This window comes from Homo sapiens, chromosome 1 (assembly GCF_000001405.40).
Source record: "Homo sapiens chromosome 1, GRCh38.p14 Primary Assembly".
NCBI classification, from domain to species: domain Eukaryota; kingdom Metazoa; phylum Chordata; class Mammalia; order Primates; family Hominidae; genus Homo; species Homo sapiens.
The window spans coordinates 224,121,363-224,144,129 of NC_000001.11; the positions used below are offsets into that span (position 1 = coordinate 224,121,363).

At 41.6% G+C, this 22,767-nt stretch overlaps 2 protein-coding genes across 4 annotated transcripts in view; one reads left to right on the top strand and one right to left on the bottom strand.

The window, feature by feature from the left end:
* Positions 1-22,767, top strand: part of FBXO28 (F-box protein 28) — a 47,937-nt gene that overhangs the window by 7,252 nt on the left and 17,918 nt on the right. For 2 of the 3 annotated variants that reach the window (NM_015176.4, NM_001136115.3), the window contains exons 2-3: positions 9,110-9,219; positions 12,712-12,850. In NM_015176.4, coding sequence (NP_055991.1) covers positions 9,110-9,219; positions 12,712-12,850 — 249 coding nt within the window. The remainder of the gene's footprint in view (positions 1-9,109; positions 9,220-12,711; positions 12,851-22,767) is intronic. The other variant, NR_049764.2, reaches the window with a different exon arrangement.
* Positions 14,847-21,583, bottom strand: LOC124903813 (UPF0764 protein C16orf89-like). Its single transcript, XM_047436340.1, has 3 exons — positions 21,440-21,583; positions 21,219-21,320; positions 14,847-14,951 (listed from the first exon to the last, which is right to left on the bottom strand). The coding sequence occupies exons 1-3, from the start codon at positions 21,581-21,583 to the stop codon at positions 14,847-14,849; spliced, it is 351 nt and encodes a 116-aa protein (XP_047292296.1).

The window sequence follows — 22,767 nt, forward strand, 5'->3', positions numbered from 1 at the left end:
AATATCTAGGGTATATACGCAGAGAATCTAAAATTTGTTGTAATTCTACCAGCAGATAATTGAGAATTTCATATACATATATATGTGTAGTATATTCACAACACACACAATATAGTAATACAAGTGGTGTGATCTTAGGCAGTAGGTAGAAGAGAGTTGCTCTGTCACCCATGCTGGAGTGCAGTCGTGAGATCACAGCTCACTGCAGCCTCAAACTCTTGGCCTCAAGCAGTCCTCCTGCCTTGGCCTCTCTAGGTGTTGGGATTGCAGACGTGAGCCACCACACTTGGGCAAATAGAACTTTTTTTTTTTCTTTGAGACAGTCTCAAGGCTGGAGTGCAGTGGTGCGATCTTGGCTCACTGCATCCTCCACCTCCCAGGTTCAAGTGATTCTCCTGCCTCAGCTCCAAATAGAATTTTTTTTTTTTAGACTGAGTCTCGCTCGCTCTGTCGCCCAGGCTGGAGTGCAGTGGCACGATCTCGGCCCATTGCCACCTCTGCCTCCTGGGTTCAAGTGATTCTCCAGCCCCAGCCTCCCGAGTAGCTGGGATTACAGGCCTGCACCACCACGCCTGGCTAATGTTTGTATTTTTGGTAGAGACAGGGTTTCACCATCTTGGCCAGGCTGGTCTTGAACTCCTGACCTCGTGATCCACCTGCCTTGGCCTCGCAAAGTGCTGGGATTACAGGCGTGAGCCACTGCCTGGCCCCAAATAGAATTTTTTTTAAAGATTAAAGTATTCTTTTGGAAGAGGTGGGAAGTTGTATCCATATTTAGGTGAGGGAAATTAAGATGAGTTCACTGAAAACACAAACAGGACAAGAGAAGAGCCAGAATGGTTGTGATTCGTTCATTATTCATTTTTTAAATGATTTTTTCGTCCATCATTAACTTTTTGCCACATTTGCTTTATCTGTTTCACTTTTGTGCTCATTTTCTCTCTCCTGAATGTGTGTATGTGTGCATCTATCCCAGGAACATTCTTATTTTACCAAACCATTTGAAAGTAAGATGAAAATACTGATATTTTGCCCCAAGTACTTTTTATAATGTGATCACAATATCCTCATTTCCAGGGGATTTAACATTACAGTTTGTATTCAGATTTCTCAGTTGTCCCCAAAATGTTCTTTATAGCTCTTTGAGGCGGGTTTATTCAGTCTAATTAAGGATTGTTCTCTAATCTAGAACATTGTCCCCACTTTTTTCATTCTTTCATGCCATTGACTTTTTTTTTTTTACAGCCCCCCCCAAGCCCCGCCAACACACACAATGAATGCCATTGACTTTTTGAAGACTAGGCCAGATGGCTTGTAATGGTTCTGTAATTCACATTTGTCTAATTTTTTCCTTGTGATTGACTTCAGGATTTTGAACTTTGGAAGGATTATAGGAAGGTCTTGCGCTAGCTCCATCTGTCTAACCTTTAGCAGTGTGGTGAGAATGCCTGTTAATGTCCTTAAAAATCCCTTATTACCTCAAGAAGTCCTACCTTTTAGAGTAGTGCCAGCAGTTCTATAACAGCAGAGTATCAGTTGGGACTCTAATCAATTTGAAATAAATAGGATAATTATTTCAGGTTATATAGCTGTGGGTCACCAAGTTTAAAATGGCACAAATTAGAAGACCTGGATTCTTAGTTTCCCTTTTGCTGCTGAATAGCTGGATGACCTTGGACAAATCACATAATTTCTTAAGGCCTCAGCTTTCTCACTTTAAAAAAAAAGGATAGGTTCTGATGTCTTTAAGTTCCTTTCAGTTCTGGAGTCTTAACAAGCAGCCTAATCAGCTTGTGATCATTTAAGAACTGTAGAGTGCCAAACTAATACATTTTATTTATTTATTTTGGTTCTCTGTTTATCTTACACAATAATGAATACATTTTAAAACTGGGTTCCAGCTGGGCGCAGTGGTTCATGCCTGTAATCCTAACACTTTGGGAGACCGAGGTGGGTGGATCACTTGAGCCCAGGAGGCTGAGGTGGGAGGATTGCCTGAGCCCCAGGGAGGTGGAAGCCTCAGTAAGCCGTGATCGTGCCACTCCACTCCAGCCTGGGCAACAGAGGGAGACCCTGTCTCAAAAAAAAAAAAAAAAAAAAAAAATTGGGTTCCAATACAATATTTCCATGATTCTAAGATATAAGGGTCTCATATTTAACATTTTTGAAATCAGTGCATCTTGATCAATTTGTATGTATATTATCGTGGTGGTGCCTTTTTTTTCCCAGAAAAGTTTTTATTAAGTTGGTAGCATGTCTCAAAGTCTCTACAGCATCTTAAAATCGAAGGAGTTGAGCATACCATATTTCAAGGCATCTAAGAAAAAAATGCCGCCAATTATAATGCTAAGACATTATATATCGTAGGTCTATTCCACTGTCAAATGTTTAAAAATGTGCATCTTAGAATCAGTTAAGACTTAAATAAATAAAAATTTTTGTAAAACAATCAGTTAAGACTTGAGGCCAGGCATGATGGCCCATGCCTGTAATCCCAGCACTTTGGGAGACTGAGGCGAGTGGATCACCTGAGGTCAAGAGTTTGAGACCAGCCTGATCAACATGGTGAAACCCTGTCTCTACTAAAAACACAAAAAATTAGCCGGGCGTGGTGGGAGGTGCCTATAATGCCAACTACTTGGGAGATTGAGGCAGGAGAATCACTTGAACCCGGGAGGCAAAGGTTGCAGTGAGTGGAGATTGCACCACTGCATTCCAGCCTGGGCAACGAGAGCAAAACTCCATCTCAAACAAAAAAAGACTTGATATTAAAGATTAAACAGGAAAATCACATTTCACAAATGTATAGCCTATGTGTCTTGCATTATTAAGAAGGACCATGGTAGCACAACAAATCTAAAAACAAAGAAAATTTTTCATTACTGACCACAACTAAGAAAACTACATTTATTCTCTTACAGTAGAACAGTGAGTAACAGGAGCCCAAGCTATATCTTTGTTCTTCAGTGATTTATTCTATTCATTCCCTTTTGTTTTTATAGTATATACTTTTCCTAATCTTTCAGTGCCCTGATAGTTTTTGACATGGTCATCATCTTTAGGCTCCATATATTAGGCTTCAGGATTTTATTTTACTGTCTTGGGTAAATTGCCAAATTGTTAGGATTTTTGTTTGGTTGTAGTTACTAGGGAAATAAAATTTCTTCCCTTTAGCTTTGGGAAATTATTAAAATACTCCTAAATTTAGAGCTACACTTTAAATGAGAAAATTTGAGTTACAAGTTAGCATACATTATCAGCAGCTATCATTAAACTGCTTGTCCTGGGGAAATTTAGTATATTTCTTTTTTCCAGATGTGACTTCTTTCTGAATCCTAAACAAAAGTTATATGGTCTCTTTTGTTGTATTGTTTCGTTTTTGAGATGGAGTCTCGCTCTGTCACCCAGGCTGGATGGAGTGCAGTGGCGTGATCTTGGCTCACTGCAACCTTCACCTCAGGTTCAAGCGACCCTCCTGCCTCAGCCTCCCAAGTAGCTGGGATTACAGGCGCCGGCTACCATGCCTGGCAAATTTTTGTATTTTTAGTAGAGATGGGGTTTCACCCTGTTGACCAGGTGGTCTTGAACTCCTAACCTCAGCTGATGCGCCCAGCCGAAAGATGTATGATCTCTTGTGTTTTTGTGCTGTTGGTTAGTCAGTGCTTCTTGAACATTTGAACATACAGGAAAACTACCACATTAAATACTGTTCTTTCCTTACAATATTGCCTAATGTTTAAAATAATTTTTCTTTTTTTTTTTTTCTTTTGAGAGGAGGTCTTGCTATGTTGCCCAGGCTGGAGTAGTGCAGGTGTGATCATCATACACTGCAGCCTCAAACTCCTGGGCCCAAGTGATCCTCCCACCTCAGCTTCCCAAGTAGCTGGGAAGCTGGAACTACAGGCTCATGCCTCTGTACCTGGCTATGCTTAAAATCTTTTTGATGTTGGCTTGTGTAGTGTCATTCTAATTTGTCCATCTTTGTGACCTCCTATTCTCTAATCTTTTTATCAGCTTTTAATTATAAATGTCAGTTGAGGCTCCATTTATAGGCCTTTTTCTCTTATCTTTCACTTCATTTGGGGTTCATGTACATTTATTTCACTATCTCCAGTGAAATTTCCAGAACCACGTCTTTAGTCCTGGTATGATAGCGCTTGCAGAAAATGACCAGCCAGCTCTCCCAATACCAGATCTTTCAAAAGATGGGTGGTCTTTTCCTTTTCTTTTCTTCTTTTTTGTTTATTAAGTCCAACTTCTGCAGAAGGATACTCATTCTCTTTTTTTTTTTTTTTCTGACACGGAGTCTCGTTCTGTCATCCAGGCTGGAGTGCATTGGTGCCGTCTCGGACCACTGTAACCTCCACCTTCCGGGTTTAAGCGATTCTCCTGCTTTAGGTTCCCAAGTAGCTGGAATTACAGGCGCCTGCCACCACACCCAGCTAATTTTTATTTGGGGGTTCACCACGTTGGCCAGGCTGGTCTCAAACTCCTGACCTCAAGTGATCTGCCCACCTCAGCCTCCCAAAGTGCTGGGATTACAGGCGTGAGCCACTGCTCCCGGCCATTCATTCTCTTTTTAAAGTTATTTATCTGATTTCTCGACTCAAAACATGGGAAATTTTATTCCTCTCAGCTTGGCCCACACATCTCATCTGTCTTCGGAAGTAGTTTGCTTGCTAATGGTTTGTTCATTCCAGACTTTGTGCCTTTGCATACACCATTACATCTAACTTAGCAATCTTTGCCCTCTCCTCCTTCAAAGCCTAATTCAAATCTTTTGTCATGTGAGATCTTCTTAATTGGGCCTATCTGGTTATTCTTATTCTCATCACCCAGCCAGTACTTAAATACTACACTAGCCAGCACTCATATTCGAGTTTATAGATTATTGAAAGATATCTAAACCCTAGAAGTTAGCTAGATTCAGTGCAGCAAAACTAGTAAAATAATTTTGACTGAACCTTGAAAATTGTTACAGCAGTAATTGACCTTAATTTTTGTCTTTGTAAATATATTGCTGCTAAAAATTATTTCTTCTCAGAAATTATCAACAAGGTTGTAGAGTCTACAGAGACAAGAAGTGTTTTTCTACAAGGTTGTGTTAGAGGGTACCTCAGTTTATTTTTAAGTCCACTATCTACTCATCTGATAACTTAACATATCAAATAGGCTGGGTGCAGTGCTCAACGCCTGTGAACCTAGCACTTTGGGAGACCAAGGCAGGAGATCACTTGAGGTCAGGAGTTCCAGACCAGCCTAACCAACATAGTGAAGCCCCATCTCTATTACGAAAAATTAGCCAGGTGTGGTGGCAGGCGCCTGTAATCCCAGCTACTTGGGAGGCTGAGGCAGGAGAATCGCTTGAACCCAGGAGATGGAGGTGGCAGTGAGCCGAGATCACGCCACTGCACCCCAGCCTGGGCAACAGAGCAAGACTCCCTCTAAAAATAAATAAATAAGTAAAATAAAATATCAAATAGTTTTAATAACAAAACATAGTTTTTATAGTCCCCAGTTTTTATTCCCCAGAGGCACCACTTTCAAGTCTTCCGGCTGATTTTCTTCTATTTGATATTATCTGTTAACTTCCTAATAAGTTGAGAAGTTAGCCCTGTTGCCCTCATTCCTTTCTTTCCTTCAATAACATAAAAGTTTTTTTTTTCCCCACATGAAGTTCAGTACTGGTGTTTGTGGTCATGTGATTATTCAGGACTGGGGCACTGGTTCTCAAAGTGTGGTCCAGAAACCCCAGAGAGGTTTCCAGGATCCTGTCACAGGGTCCATAAGATGTAAAGTATTTGTGTGTGTGTGTGTGTGTATGTGTGTGTGTGTGTGTGTGTGTGTTTATGTTTGGCACGCTTATTTTTTCCACAAGTATACATGGAGTTTTCCAGTAGCCACATGACGTTTGATGACATGATGGCATCACACTGTTAGCTAATGAAACGTGCACTTGTGTGTTCTTGTGTTTTCCAGAATTTTCTGAGGTAAGAATACCTCAGTCGATTGAATGCAGAGACAGGTATGAAAATTGACCTGTGTTCTGTTAAACCACATATCAAAAAGCCTTGCAGAAATGTAAAATAAGGCCAATCACTAAATGTTTTGTTTTGGAAAAAAGTTACTTTTCGTTAAAAGCAGTTACATATATTGATATGTATTGTGTTTATGTCTTTGTTTTTTTCAGTAGACACTGAACAAATACTGATAACTGGTTTAGTTTAGTTAGAAATAGATTCTACCATATTTTAACATATTATTGGCCAAGCAGGGTGGCTCACCTGTAATCCCTGCACTTTGGGGGGCCAAGACAGGCAAATCACCTGAGGCCAGGAGTTCAAGACCAGCCTGGCCAACATGGTGAAACCCCATCTCTACTTAGAATGCAAAAATTAGCTGGGCGTGGTGGCACGCAACTGTAATCCCAGCTACTCGGGAGGCTGAGGCAGGAGAATGGCTTGAACCTGGTAGAGGGAGGTTGCAGTGAACCAAGATCACGCCACTGCACTTCAACCTGGGTGACAGCGAAACTCTGTCTGAAAACAAACAAACAAACATTATTTATTAGAAATTACTTCGTACTTAAAGTTTATTGTGCTTTAATTTTGAAATTGAAAAGAACAGTTTTCCTTAATACCCTTTTAGGAAGTTATCTGGTTTTTAATATTAGAATATTAAAGCCTTCTTGAGCTTCAACCCAGTTTGCCAGGATTTTTGTCAGGCCTGTGTTCTCAGGAGAAAACAAACTTACATCAAGAGTTTCATCAGCATTTCGTTTCAACAAATATTTGTTGATCGTTTGTGCTTGGGTGCTATGAGAGATGGAAAGAAGCATAAGACAGATCCTAACTGTCCATGTCTTTTTTTATTATTATTATTATTTTTTTTTATTTTATTTTTTTAACTGTCCATGTCTTGTACTGCAACGTCTACCCCATATGGTGAGAATTAACCTTCAGGTTGATGACTCAGTTGCTGCAGAATTCTTAGAGATCAAATCACAAAGGAATTCTGTATACTAGATCTAATTAAGATAAGAAAGATGCTAGGATATCTCAGAAATATAACAAATGAAACAAAGTTTTCAAATTAGTACTAAGATAAACAAAGTTTATTTAACAATTTTATATAGCACTTTAGAGTTTACCAAGTGATTTAGTGTGTGTTTCGTTTAATCCTAATGATATCCTATGGGTTAGGTATTATCCATGTCTTACAGGTAGCTGACTCAGGTTTTCAAATGTAAGATGACTTGGACAAGAATGCATATAAGTTGTACTCAAATTTAGCTGTTCTGACTTCTGATCCTGTGCTTTTACTGTATAAAAACACCATATCTGGCTGGGCATGGTGGCTCATGCCTATAACCATAGCACTTTGGCAGGCCAAAGCAGAGGATTGCTTGAGCCCAGGAATTTAAGACCAGCCTGGGCAACATAGACCCCCATCTCTACAAAATTTTTTTTAAAAATTAGCTGCGCGGGGTGGTGCATACCTGTTGTCTCAGCTACTTGGGAGGCTGAGACAGGAGGATTGCTTGTGCCCAGGGATAGGATGCTGCAGTGAGCTGTGATCGTGGCACTGCACTTCAGCCTAGACAACAGAGCAAGACCCTGTCAAAAAAAAAAAAAAAAAAAACTATATTAAGGATTCAAAGTAGTTGATGTTCTACTACACATGCTAAGATATTTTGGGCCGAGTGCAGTGGCTCACACTTGTAATCCCAACCCTTTGGGAGGCCAAGGCGGATGGATTACTTGAGGTCAGGAGTTCGAGACCAGTCTGACCAACATGGTGAAACCCTGTCTCTACTAAAAATACAAAATTAGCTGGGCGTGGTGGCACATGCCTGTAATCCTAGCTACTCAGGAGGCTGAGGCAGGAGAATCACTTGAACCTGGGAGGCACAGGTTGCAGTGAGCTGAGATCACACCATTGCACTATAGCCTGGGTGACAAGAGTGAAACTCCATCTCAAAAAGATATTTTGGAGGATATACAGTGTCTAATATAAAGGCCTTGGCCATCATAAGCTCTCCATAGTTAAGCCAGATCACTAGAAGAAATAAGTAATAATTCTCATTCTGGTTATAGATCATATAAACTTTGTAAGAGGTTAGACTCAAATGGATACATTTCTGACTAAAAAAGAATTTTTTTTGTTTCAAACTATTAAAAAACCTTTAAATGTATTGTTTTACTGATCTTCAGGACTATAGTCTGTGACCATAATAATGGGAATACATTCAGAATGTCCAACAAACACCTAAAGTAAATGATACTTTTTTGCCTGCACATAGTATTAATTTCTTAATGAGATATTTCAGAAATTACATGGTGTGAGGCTGGGCACGGTGGCTCACACCTGTAATCCCAGCACTTTGGGAGGCCGAGGCAGGCGGATCACAAGGTCAGGAGATCGAGACCATCCTGGCTAACACAGTGAAACCCCGTCTCTACTAAAAATACAAAAAAATTAGCCGGGCGTGGTGGCGGGCACCTGTAGTGCCAGCTACTCAGGAGGCTGAGGCAGGAGAATGGCGTGAACCCAGGAGGTGGAGCTTGCAGTGAGCTAAGATCGCGCCACTGCGCTCCAGCCTGTGCGACAGGGTGAGACTCCATCTCAAAAAAAAAAAAGAAATTACATGGTGTGAGAGATTCACCCACAGATACTGAATCAGAGTTACATACAGCAGGCCAGCTGTGGTGGCTCACTCCTGTAATCCCAATATTCTGGGAGGCCAAGGTGGGCAGATCACTTGAGGTCAGAAGTTTGAGACCAGCCTGGCCAGCATGGTGAAACTCTGTCTTTACTAAAAATACAAAAATTAGCCAGGCATGATGGCACACACCTGTATTTCCAGCTACTGGGGAGGCTGAGGCAGGAGAATCGCTTGAACCTGGGAGGCGGAGGTTGTGCTGAGCTGAGATTGCACCACTGCACTCCAGCCTGGGCGACAGAGTGAGACTTCGTCTCAAAAAAAAAGATATATACAGCAAACTGAGGAATAATAGTGGGATACAGAGAGCTTTAAGCCATCAGTTATGAGTCTCAGTTGTCTCTTATTAATTTGGTTATTGATTTTTGTTCTTTTTTCTCCTTGAAGGTTTGTAAAAGAATGGACTTGGTCTGCCAGAGAATGTTGAATCAGGGATTTCTGAAAGTGGAGAGGTACCATAATCTATGTCAGAAACAAGTTAAAGCACAACTCCCAAGGTATGTTGTGGGTGGCAATGACAATGATGTACAGTTGGTTTTGTTTGTTGCTTGACTTCTTTTTTTCAGTCTCATGGTTTACATATTGCTTCCCAAGTTTTTATAGCAAAGGGCACAAAGATCACAATGTGATTTCTGCAGTGGTTTGTCCATTCTCACCGTTTGTGATCAACATTTTACTGGAGGTTCTAGCCAGAGAAATTAGGCAAGAAAATGAAATACAAGGCATCCAAATGGGAAAAGAAGAAATAGAACTCTCTGTTCACAGATGATATGATCTTGTGGATAAGGAGTGCACTAATTGATTATTAAAGCTAGTAAACCAGTTCAGCAAGGATATGGGATATAAGAATAATATACAGAAACCAATTATATTTATATACACTAGCAATGAACAATCCAAAAACGAAATTCAAAACATTTTATCATAGTTTCAAAAAGAATAGAATACTTAGTAATACATATAACAAAAGCACAAGACTTGTATACTAAAAACTACAAAACACCATTGAAAGAAATTAAAGAAGACTTAAATAAGTGGAAAGGCATTCTGTGTTCATGGATTTGAAGACTTCATATTGTTAAGATGACGGTACTCCCCAGATGAATCTACACATTCAGTGTGATAGGGGTTGACAATAAGGTACAATATGTTTTGTTTGTTTCTTGACTTTTTTTTTTGTAACCCCTGTCAAAAATTCAGCTGTCTTTTTTTTTTTCCCCAAAACTTGATACACTGATCCTAAAATTCCTGTGGAAATACAAGAGTCTGACAATAACCAAAGCAATTTTGAAAAAGGAGAGCAGTATTGGAAGACTCACACTTCCCACTTTCAAAACTTAGTACAGAGCTATAGTAATCAAAACAGTATGGCACTGGCATAAGGATAGACCTGTAGATCAAAGAAGCAAAAGCAAAAGTCTGGATAATAAACCTTATATTTTTAATCAGTTGATTTTAACAAGGATGTCAAGATAATTCAATGCAGTAAGAATAGTATTTTCAACAAATGATGCTGGGACAACTAGTTATCTTGAAAATGAATGAAGTTGGACCTCTTCCTCATACTGTATATAAAAGTTAACTCAAAAGGGATCATAGACCTAAGTGTAAATGTCAGCACTATACTATATAACCCTTAGAAGAAAACATAGTAGTAAGTCTTCATGAACTTGGATTAGGCAGTGACACCAAAAGCACAAGTAGCAAAAGAAAAAATTAAGCAAATTGGACTTAAAATGTAAAACTTTTGTGGCTCAAAAGACACCGTTAAGAAAATGAAAAGACACCCCACAAAATGGGAGAAAACCTGCGTAAATCATGTATCCAGATTATATGAGGAACTCTTACAACTCAACAATAAAACCTATTTTAAAAGTGGGTAGAGGGGCCAGGTGCAGTGGCTCACACCTGTAATCCCAGCATGTTGGGGGACTGAGGTGGGTGGATCACCTGAGGTCAGGAGTTCAAGACCAGCCTGGGCAGCATAGTAAAACCCTGTCTCTACTAAAAATACAAAAACTACCTGGGCATGGTGGCGGGTGCCTGTAATCCCAACTACTCAGGAGGCTTAGGCAGGAGAATAACTTGAACCCGTTGGCGGAAGTTTCAGTGAGCCAAGATCGCGCCACAGCACTCCAATCTGGGTGACAGAGCAAGACTCTGTCTCCAAAAAAAAGGACAAAGGATTTGAATAGACACTTCTCCAAAGAAGATAAGTAATAGCCAACAAGCACATGAAAGGTGCTCAACATCATTAGTCGTCAGGGGAATGCAAATCAAAACCACTACGAGATTTATATCCACTAGCGCTTTATATCCACTAGGATGGCTACAATGGAAAAATGTTGGGGAGGATGTGGACAAATTGGAACCTTCATATATCAATGTTGGGAATGTAAAATGGTGCAGTCACTTTAGAAAACAGTTTGGCTGTTCTCAGGCCGGATGTGATGGCTCACGCCTGTAATGCCAGCAGTTTGGGAGGCCAAGGCAGGTGGATCACCTGAGGTCAGGAGTTCAAGACCAGCCTAGGCAACATGGTGAAACCCAGTCTCTACTAAAATAGGAAAATTAGCCAGGCATGATGTCGGGTGCCTATAATCCCAGCTTCTTAGGAGGCTGAGGCAGGAGAATTGCTTGAACCTGGGAGACGGAGGTTGCAGTGAGCCAAGATCGTGCCATTGTGCTGCAGCCTGGGCGACAGAGTGAGCCCGTCTCAAAAAAAAAAAAAAGAAAAAACAATTTGGCTGTTCTCAAAAAGTTAAACAGAGAGTTATTGTCTGAGCCACCAATTTCATTCCTAGATAAGTACCCAAAAGAAATGAAAACATAATGTTTGCACAAAAACTTGTACACAAACGTTTTTAGCAGCATTATTCATAATAGCCAAAAAGTGGAGACAATCCAAATGTCCATCAGCTGATGAGCAAACAAAGTATGATATATCTGCATGATGGAATATTATTGGGCAATAAAAAGGTACATGCTACAACAAGAATGAACCTGGAAAACTATGCTAAATGAAAGAAGCCAGAAACATAAGGCTACTGTATGATTCCATTTATCTGGAATGTTCAGAATAGGTGGATCCAGAGAAACAGAAAGTAGATTAGTATTGCCAGGGGCTGGGAGAATGGGAGTGGCTGATAATGGTTACAGGAGTTAATTTTGTGGTAATGAAAATATTCTGAAATTAGATAGTGGTGATAGTTGTACAATCCTGTGAGTATACTAAACACCACTAAATTTAGTCCTCTTTAAGATAATTTTATTATGTCTGAGTTATTTCTTAAATTGCTAAAAAGTTTAAAGGAGTTAAATTTTATCATCAAAAGCATATCATCTCCTGCCTATATTTCCATGTGTAATCCATTCATTTATCTAATTTCTTTGGTTCTAATAGCCACTAGATTTGATAGCCAAAAAACCTTTACTTTTATTTTTATTTTTGAGATGGAGTCTTGCTCTATCACCCAGGCTGGAGTGCAAGTGGTGCAGTCTTGGTTCACTGCAACCTCCGACGCCCGGGTTCAAGCGAGTCTCCTGCCTCAGCCTCCCTAGTAGCTGGGACTATAGGCATGCACCATCACGCCTGGCTAATTTTTTAGTAGAGACGGGGTTTCACCATGTTGCCCAGCCTGGTCTCAAACTCCTGACCTCAGGTGATCCACCCGCCTCAGCCTCCTAAAGTGCTGGGATTACAGGCGTGAGCCTCCAAGCCCGGCCCCAAAAAACCTAATTAAAATATATATATATATATATAATTTGTTTTGTTTGTTTTCAAATATTTTGTCAATGAGTACCAGTCTTTGGTAACGATTTCTAGGCATAGTGATTCATTCATCATTACAGTTAAATTATGACCCAACTGTAGATTTCTAAATTAACATGTAAAAGACTGTTTCATTAAGCCATCTTGATTGCTTAATATTTTAGTCCACAATACTGCTTTAATGGTTGCCTTGCTTTTATTATTATTATTATTATAGGAGAGAGTCAGAAAGGAGAAACCATTCATTAGCTCGTCATGCAGACATTCTTGCTGCTGTTGAAACAAGGCTGTCACTATTAAATATGACTTTCATGAAATATGTGGATTCCAATCTCTGTTGCTTCATCCCAGGAAAGGTAAAATAGAATTGCTTGCCTAGAACAGCTGGACTGCCCTACATAAACTTATTATACAGTTATGAATTTCTGATTTTAGAAATGTTAGAATTGTTTCTACTTCTCTGAGTTTCTACTAATGAATTTGTTTGCTTTCTGTACAGTTATAAATATGTATCATTTGTATGATCTTTATATTTAAAATTCTAATTATGAAATAGTCGAAACCCTAATATTCTTTAGAGAAGTTTTTTAAGAGTTCATACTCAAGAATAAAATTTGAGGTTTTACTGGTGGTTATGATGCCAGAGATACAGCAATGAACAACATACATATTGTCCCTGCCTTCAAGACTATTATAATTTTGGGGAGGTAGAAAAGGAGGGACAAGCTGGTTTTTGTTTTGTTTGAGAAATGTTTCATAACGACAACTTTATAAACTTTCTGATTTGACAAGAATAAACAATTGCTATTTACCAATATTCCCAGAACTAAATAACAGTCCTTTTTAACACAGAAATAACTATATTGTGGCATATTTACCATTACTAAGTTAATAAAAACTCCAACATTCAACATACTACTTATACCTTCAGTAGTACCCTACTCCTTGAATTAAGTGTAAATTGACATATGTCTGTATCTTTTTATATGGAAGTGGTAGAGATATAATTAAAGGTCATTTTGCTACTTGGTTGATGCTGGCAAAAGTTTCCCTTAACATGGTTGGAAATAATTAATATCTAGTAAAATCTGAATGTTCGCTTTTTGTTATTTCCAAAGATAATTTACATTGGCAATATTTAATACGTACTTTGTCCATTTTTAGTTTTCTTTGACATTTATTTTTGGGGGGAATCCCATTTCTTATGATTGTATTTGAAATATTTTGGTATATCTCACTTTCTTTGCATTATATACATTTTCTTTAAAAGATCTTGTTGCATACCAACACATTACCTGCTAATGCTTTTTGTAGGGTGCTATAAGAGGATGACCAGTTAGAAACTTCAGAGTGATTCTTATGCCAGATTTTTCTGAATCTGACTTAAAGGCCTTAACTTTTAAGTGTTCCTGAGTTCTTTGAACTTAGCTTGTTTCATATAGCATCATAGTTTTTATTGAATATCTCATTGTTAGAAACATGAATATCTAAGAAACATCTCACAGTTATCATAACTTCAAAGAGATTCAGTCAGTTGTTAAGTAACAGAGTTGAATAGTTTGTGACAGAGTTCATGTGGCCTACAAAGATTAAAATATTTATGATCCAGGCCGGCTGTAGTGGCTCGCACCTCTAATCCCAGATACTTGCAAGGCTGAGGCAGAAGAATCGCTTGAACCCGGGAGGCGGAGGTTGCACTGAGCCAAGATCACACCACTGCACTCCAGCCTGGGCAACAGAGCAAGACTCTGTCTCAAAAAAAAAAAAAAAAAAAAAAAAGAAAAAGAAAAAGAAAAATTTAGTATCTGGCCTGTACAGAAGAAGTCACCAATTTCTGTGCTAGTTGATCAGGCTCACGTGTTTGGAATGGTGATGTTGACAGTCTAAACAAATAATGTTGCCAGGTGCCGTGGCTCACACCTGTAATCCCCACACTTTGGGAGGCCGAGACGGGCAGATCACAAGGTCAGGAGATCAAGACCAGCCTGGCGAACATGGGGAAACCCTGTCTCTACTAAAAATACGAAAATTAGCTGGGCATGGTGGCATGTGCCTGTAATCCCAGCTACTCGGGAGTCTCAGGCAGGAGAGTCACTTGAACCAGGCAGTCAGAGGTTGCAGTGAGCCGAGATCATGCCACTGCACTCCAGCCTGGCGACAAAGCAAGACTCTATCTCAAAAACAAACAAATAATGTTAAATCCACTGGAGTCCTGTCATTTTTGGAAACCATTTGTTGACTTCAGTTTTTTTTTTTTTTTTTTTTGAGATGGTGTCGTGCTGTGTCACCCAGGCTGGAGTGCAGTGGGGCAATCTCAGCTAACAGCAACCTCTGCCTCCCGGTACAGGTGCATTATTTGGATTGTTTTATGAGTGTTCCCTTTTTTGTACTTCTCATGCTTAAACTTTTCACATCCTGTCTGCAAAATATAAGGATGCGGCATTTAATTTCCACATGCTGAAGTAAGAACATTATACAAAATAATTTTCAGTCTAACATATAATCTTCATTTAATATATGGTGTTTATGATAAGTTGTTCTTGTTTTCCCTGAGATCTTGCTTCTGGGATGTACTTAAAAGTTTAGGCCGGGCGCGGTAGCTCACACCTGTAATCCCAGCACTTTAGGAGGCCAAGGTGGGCGGATCACAAGGTCAGGAGGTCCAGACCATCCTTGCTAACATGGTGAAACCCCATCTCTACTAAAAATACAAAAAAAAAAACTAGCTGGGCATGGTGGCGGGCGCCTATAGTCCCAGCTACTCGGGAGGCTGAGGCAGGAGAATGGCATGAACCTGGGAGGCAGAGCTTGCAGTGAGCCAAGATCGTGCCACTGCACTCCAGCCTGGGCGACAGAGCAAGACTTTGTCTCCAGAAAAAAAAAAAGTTCAGAAGTCTTTTTGTTTTTGTTTTTGAGATGGGGTCTCGTTCTGTCGCCCAGGCTGGAGTCCATTGGTGCAATCTTGGCTCACCGCAACCTCTGCCACCCAGGTTTAGGCGATTCTCATGCCTCAGCCTCCCAAGTAGCTGAGACTACAGGTGCACACCACCACAGCCAGGTAATTTTTGTATTTTTAGTAGAGACGAGGTTTCACCATGTTGGCCAGGCTGGCCTCAAACTCCTGATCTCAAGTGATCCGCCTGCCTTGGCCTCCCAAAGTGCTGGGATTACAGGTGTGAACCACTGTGCCTAGCCACAGAAGCTTTTATACTTTGTTAAGAAAACTAACTTTTGTGGTTTTATATAGACTACATTCATTTTGTCAAACTTAAGGTCTACAGTAAGCATTTTATTCACTTAAGTGAATCTGAGTAGTAGCAACATTATAGTTCAAATTAGATAGCCAAATATGTACCAAAATTTTGGACCTTTAAAGTAATAGTTGGGACTGGGCACGGTGGCTCACGCCTGTAATCGCAGCACTTTGGGAGGCCAAGACGGGTAGATCACAAGGTCAAGAGATCGAGACCATCCTGGCCAACATGGTGAAACCCCATCTCTACTAAAAATACAAAAATTAGCTGGGCGTGGTGGTGTGCACCTGTAGTCCCAGTTACTCAGGAGACTGAGGCAGGAGAATCGCTTGAACCTGGGAGGCAGAGGTTGCAGTGAGCCAAGATCATGCCACTGCACTCCAGCCTGGCAACAGAGCGAGACTCTGTCTCAGCAAAAAAAAAGAAAAAAGAAAAAGGAAGACAGAAATCCACAAGAATGGTGAGATTAGGGGAGAAGACAGTAGCAATAAAATTTTGAAAGCTATAAAGTAGAGAAACAAATGGTAACTGATTTAGCAGAACTGAGAAAGTTAAATCCTACACTGACAGTGGGGAAAGCCAAGAGGAACTCCTTGCACAAAAGAAAGCTCTAGAGTTAAAAGCTCCAGCCAGACACCTGTGAGAGTGGGACTGATAACAGGAAGGTTGGTTGAGAATCTGTAGTTAAGAATGATTCAAACCTACAGGTTACCTCTCCAATTGCAGGCAAGCTAGATCATTGCCCTTCTACTCAGTGAAAACCAAAGGCTTATTCACTAGAGGGGTTAAAATGGAGTCCATTGACAGGGGGACTATATTGATAGGGCATTAAAAGCTGTGTAAAGAATTCAGACAACCTGTAATCCCAGCACTTTGGGAGGCTGAGGCGGGCAAATCACTTGAGATCAGGAGTTCAAGACCAGCCTGGCCAACATGGTGAAACCCTGTCTATACTAAAAATACAAAAATTAGGTGGGTGTGGTGGCAGGCACCTATAGTCCCAGCTACTCAGGAGACTGAGGCAGGAGAATCACTTGAACCTGGGAGGCAGAGGTTGCAGTGAGCCGAGATCACACTGGTGCACTCCAGCCTGGGCTACAGAGTGAGACCCTGCCACAAAAAAAAAGAATTTAGACAGGTTACAAGTTTGCTATTATCTAGGACAGGAATCAGCAAACTTTTTTTGGTAAAAGGCCAGTTTATAAATATTTTTGGCCCTGTGAACCTTGTGCTCGCTGTGACAGCTATGCAATTCTGAGAAACAGCCGTGTGCAATGTGTGGTAAATGAATGCTTGTGCCTGCGTTCCAGTAAAACTTTATTTACAAAACCAGGCATAGGCTAAATAGGGGTATAGTTGGCCAACCCTAAGTACCACATTGATATTCTCTTTATCTTCTCTCAGAACTAAGATGTTATAGAATGTTGGCTTACTCCTGTATACATTTCTCAAATCTTCTATCTAACACATGGAAGTTACACTTTTTACAGTAAGCTCATATTAGTATCAGCAGTTCACATATACTGACACACAACCGTATGTGAGCATTGAGCAACCAGCCATTCATAGAGATGATAATGAAAAAACAAAACATGTGGATAGTCTCTGCTCTTCTTTTTTATTTTTTTGTTTTTTCTTTTTTTTTATATTTTTAGAGACGGGGTCTCACCATGTTGGCCAGGCTGTCTTGAACGCCTAGACTCAAGCAATCCACCCACCTCAGCCTCCAGCTGGAGTCTCGGCTTACTGCAACCTCCGCCTCCTGGGTTCAAGCGATTCTCCTGCCTCAGCCTCCTGAGTAGCTGGGACTACAGGCACATGCCACCATGCCCAGCTAAGTTTTTTTGTATTTTTAATAGAGACGGGGTTTGACCGTGTTAGCCAGGATGGCCTCAATCTCCTGACCTTGTGATGCGCCCACCTTAGCCTCCCAAAGTGCTGGGATTACAGATGTGAGCCACTGCGCCCAGCCCAGTCTCTGCTCTTAACTGTCACTAGTAGCCCTGGTAAACCTTTTGTTCTTATTGAAACACAATGGTCCCCAAAAATTAGGGTTTTTACAGTATAATTGACTACATAAGGCCATGAAGCTATATTTCCCTGAACAGACGTAAAAATCTATATATTAGGCATTATTGGCTTGTATTTATTTTTCTGGGAAAGAAAATTGGTGGTGGTAAATTTTTTTATTCTTTTTTTTGTGTGTGTAAATTTTTATTCTCTTGTAATTTCAAGTTTACACAAAAATTACAAGACTAGTACAAGGAGCTCCCATATAGCTTATTTGCAAATCTAGCAGTTATTTACCTTTCATCCTGTTTGCTTTTATTTTCTCTTTATAAATACATTTTGGCCGAGCACAGTGGCTCACACCTGTAATCCCAGCACTTTGGGAGGCCAAGGCGGGCAGATCACAAGATCGAGAGATCGAGACCAGCCTGGCCAACATGGTGAAACCCCGTCTCTACTAAAAATACAAAAATTAGCTGGGCTGGTGGCACACGCCTGTAGTCCCAGCCACTTGGGAGGCTGAGGCAGGAGAATCACTTGAACCCAGGAGGCGGAGGCTGCAGTGAGCCGAGATTGCGCCACTGTATTCCAGCCTGGTGACAGAGTGAGACTTCGTCTGAAATAAATACATACATGCATGCATGCATACATACATACATACATACATACATACATACATACATTTTGGCCAGGCGTGGTGGCTCATGCCTGTAATCCTAATACTTTGGGAGGCTGAGACGGGCAGATGGCTTGAAGCCGCCAGGAGTTCGAGACCAACCTGGGCTGCAAAGTAAGACCCCCGTCTCTAAAAAAAAAATTAATTAGCTGGGTGTGGTGGCATGCACCTGTAGCCCCAGCTCCTTGGGCGGCTGAGGTGGGACGATTGCTTGAGCCTGGGCAGTCAAGGCTGCAATGAGCTATGATCATTCCACTGCACTCCAGCCTGGGTGACAGAGCAAGATCTTGTCTCAAGAAAATAAAATATAAATACTTTTTTTTCCTGAACCACTTGAAAATAAGTTGGAGACACTGTGCTCCTTAGTTCCTAAATATTTCATTGTATTTCCTAAAAGCTAGGATACTCTTACTTAACCACAGTACAGAGAGCAAAATCAGAAATTTGTAACACTGATGTAATACTGTTCTGTAGTTGACAGTTCATATTCAAGTTTCATCACATATTCCAATAATACTCTTCCTAGCAATTTTTTTTGTTAATACAGAATGTAATCGAGAACCATGCATGGACTGTAATCTTATATCTGGAACAGTTCCCTAGGCTCTCTTTGTGTCACTTGATCATCACATTTTTGAAGAACGTAGGTCAGTTATTTTGAGGGATATGCTTCCATTTAAGTTTAATGCTTACAGAATGTTGTTTTTGTTTCTTTTAAAGTTGATTTTAATGTGGCGATACTCTTAAAAATCAAGATTAGTTGGGAACATTTCTCCTTTTACTATGCTTGTCCCAAAATAAATATATACAGCCATGAGCCTTTAAAAAAAATAAAAGTCTGTTTTCATATTAAAGAGAATATAGCAGGCCGGGCAGGATTGCTCACACCTGTAATCCCAGCATTTTGGGAGGCTGAGGTGGGCGGATCACCTGAGGTCAAGAGTTCTAGACCAGCCTAGCCAACATGGTGAAACCCCATCTCTACTAAAAATACAAAAAATTAGCCGAGCATGGTGGCACGTGCCTGTAATTCCAGCTACTCAGAAGGCTGAGGCAGGAGAATCGCTTGAACCTGGGAGGTGGAGGTTGCAGTGAGCCGAGATCGTACCACTGCACTCCAGCCTGGGCAACAGAGTGAGATTCTGTCTCAAAAAAAAAAAATTATTCTGAGAAATAAGAAAAGATATGCCAGCCTGGCCAACATGGTGAAACCCTTTCTCTACTAAAAATGCAAAATTAGCCAAGTGTAGTGGCAAACACCTGTTGTCCCAGCTACTCATGAGGCTGAGATAGGAGAATCGCTTGAACCTGGGAGGCGGAGGCTGCAGTGAGCCGAGATCAAACCACTGCACTCCAGCCTGGGCAAGACATAGTGGGGAAAAAAAGATACAATCGGCCGGGCATGGTGGCTCACGCCTGTAATCCCAGCACTTTGGGAGGCCGAGGTGGGCGGATCACGAGGTCAGGAGATGGAGACCATCCTGGCTAACAGGTGAAACCCTGTCTCTAATTAAAATACAAAAAATTAGCCAGGCATGGTGGCGGGTGCCTGTAGTCCCAGCTACTTGGGAGGCTGAGGCAGGAGAATGGTGTGAACCCGGGAGGCGGAGCTTGCAGTGAGCCAAGATTGCACCACTGCACTCCAGCCTGGGCGACAGAGCAAGACTGTGTCTCAAAAAAAAAAAAAAAAGATGCAATCATGCGTCATTTAGCAAAGAGGATCCATCCCAAGAGATGCATTGTTAGGTCACTTTGTCATGTGAACATACATCATAGAGTGTATTTACACAAACCTAGATGGTTCTTACACACATAGGCTATATGGTATAGTCTATTGCTCCTGAACTACAAACCTGTACAGCATGTTACCGTACTGACTATTGTAGGTGATTATAACACAATCATATTTGTATATCTAAACATAGAAAAGGTACAGTAAAAGTAGGGTATAAAAAAATGGTACACCTGTATAGGGCATTTATCATGAATGAAACTCAGTTTCTCTGGGTAAGTCAGTGAGTGAGTGGTGAGTGAATGTGAAAGCCTAGGACATTACTGTACACTTTGTAAACACTGCATACTGAGGCTACATTAATTTTTTTTTTTTTTTGATACTGGGTCTTGCTGAATCACCTAGGCTAGAGTGCAGTGGCATGACCACAGTTCATTGTAGTCGTGACCTCCTAGACTCAAGACAATCCTCCCACCTCGACCTCCCAAGTACCTGGGACTCTACAGGCACATTAAATTTTTTTTTTTTTTTTAATTTTTGGGGCCAGGCATGGTGGCTCACGCCTGTAATCCCAGCACTTTGGGAGGCCGAGGCAGGCGGATCACCTGAGGTCAGGAGTTAGAGACCAGCCTAGCCAACATGGCAAAACCCAGTCTCTGCTAAAAATGCAAAAATTAGCCAGGCGTGGTGGCGTGCACCTGTAGTCCCAGCTACTCGGGAGGCTGAGGCAGGAGAATCGCTTGAACCCAGGAGGTAGAGGTTGCAGTGAGCTGAGATTATGCCATTGCATTCCAGCTTGGGCGACAGAGCAAGACTCTGCCTCAAAAAAAAAAAATGGGGGGACAGGCATGGTGGCTCATGCCTGTAATCAATCCCAACACCTAGGCCAAGGTAGGCGGATCATTTGAGCTCAGGAGTTCTTTAAGTTTTAACTTCTTGACTTTTTTGTAATAACACTTAGCTTAAATGTCGTTTCGTTATAATATTGATGAGAAAAAAAAATCAGGCTGGGCTCAGTGGCTCACGCCTGTGATCCCAGCACTTTGGGAGGCTGAGGTGGGTGGATCACCTGAGGTCAGGAGTTCAAGACCAGCCTGGCCAACATGGTGAAGCCCTGTCTCTACTAAAAATAAAAAAATTGCCAGGCACAGTGGCTCCCACCTGTAATCCTAGCACTTCGGGAGGCCAAGGCAGGTGGATTGCCTGTGCTTAAGAGTTTGAACCGGCCTGGGCAACATGGTGAAACCCTGTCTCTACTAAAAGTACAAAAAGCCAGGCATGGTGGTGCGTGCCTGTAATCCCAGCCACTCGGGAGGCTGAGGCACGAGAATCGCTTCAACCCAGGAGGCAGAGGTTGCAGTGAGCCGAGATCTTGCCACTGAACTCCAGCCTGGGGGACAGAAAGACACTCTGTCATAAATAAATAATCGTGCCACTGAACTCCAGCCTGGGGGACAGAAAGAGACTCTGAAATAAATAAATAAGTAAGTAAGTAAATAACAGAATGAGACTCTGTCTTAAATAAATAAGCAACCAAGCAAGCGTGCGGTGGTGCGGGCCTGTAGTCCCAGCTAAATAAATACATATATTAGCCGGGTGCAGTGGTGCGGAACCCAGGAGATGGAGGTTGCAGTGAGCCAACATCGTGCCACTGCACTCCAGCCTGGGTGACAGAGTGAGACTCTGTCTCAAAAAAAAAAAAAAAAAGAGAAGGAGAAAAAAAAATCAGTTCCCGGCCAGGGCCACTGTCTGTTTAGTTTGTGCATTCTCCATATATCTGCATGAGTTTTCTCTGGGCACTCTGACTTCCTCCGACATCTCAGAGCTGTGCCTGTTAGGTTCATTGACATGTCTTAGTGGTCCCAGTCTGAGTGAGTGTGGGTGTGAGGGTGCCCTGCAGTGAGATGGCATCCTGGCCAGGGTGGATAACGACCTGGTGCCCTGAGCTGCTAGGATGGGCTCCAGCCACCTGCAACCCTGAACTAGAATAAGCAGATTGAAAAATGAATGAATAGGACGGGTGTGGTGGCTCACGCCTGTAATCCCAACACTTTGGGAGGCCGAGGCGGGCAGATCACGAGGTCAGGTGATCGAGACCATCCTAGCTAACACGGTAAAACCCCATTTCTACTAAAAATACAAAAAATAAATAAATAAATTAGCCAGGCGTGATGGCGGGCACCTGTAGTCCCAGCTACTTGGGAGGCTGAGGCAGGAGAATAGCATGAACCCGGGAGGCGGAGCTTGCAGTGGGCTGAGATCACGCCACTGCACTCCAGCCTGGACGACAGAGCAAGACTCCATCTCAAAAAAAAAAAAAAGAAAAATGAATGAATAGCCAGGCATGGTGGCTCACACCGTAATCCCAGCACTTTGGGAGGCTGAGGCGGGTGGATCACTTGAGGTAAGGAGTTTGAGACCAGCCTGGCCAGTAGAGATAGTGAAACCCCATCCTCTACTAAAAATACAAAATTTAGCCAGGCATGGTGGCATGCACCTGTAATCCCAGCTACTCGGGAGGTTGAAGCACAAGAACCACTTGGACCCAGAGAGAGATGGAGGTTGCAGTGAGCTGAGGTTGCGCCACTGTACTCCAGCCTG

Excerpts from the sequence above, each read along its gene's own strand:
- LOC124903813 (XM_047436340.1), bottom strand. The coding sequence starts at position 21,583 with ATGACAGAGTGTCTTTCTGTCCCCCAGGCTGGAGTTCAGTGGCAAGAT. Across the intron at positions 21,321-21,439 it reads GGCACGCACCACCATGCCTG|CCACTGTGCCTGGCAATTTT; the intron begins GCTTTTTGTACT and ends TACAGGTGGGAG. Across the intron at positions 14,952-21,218 it reads CAGGTGATCCACCCACCTCA|CATGTGGAAATTAAATGCCG; the intron begins GCCTCCCAAAGT and ends TTCTTACTTCAG.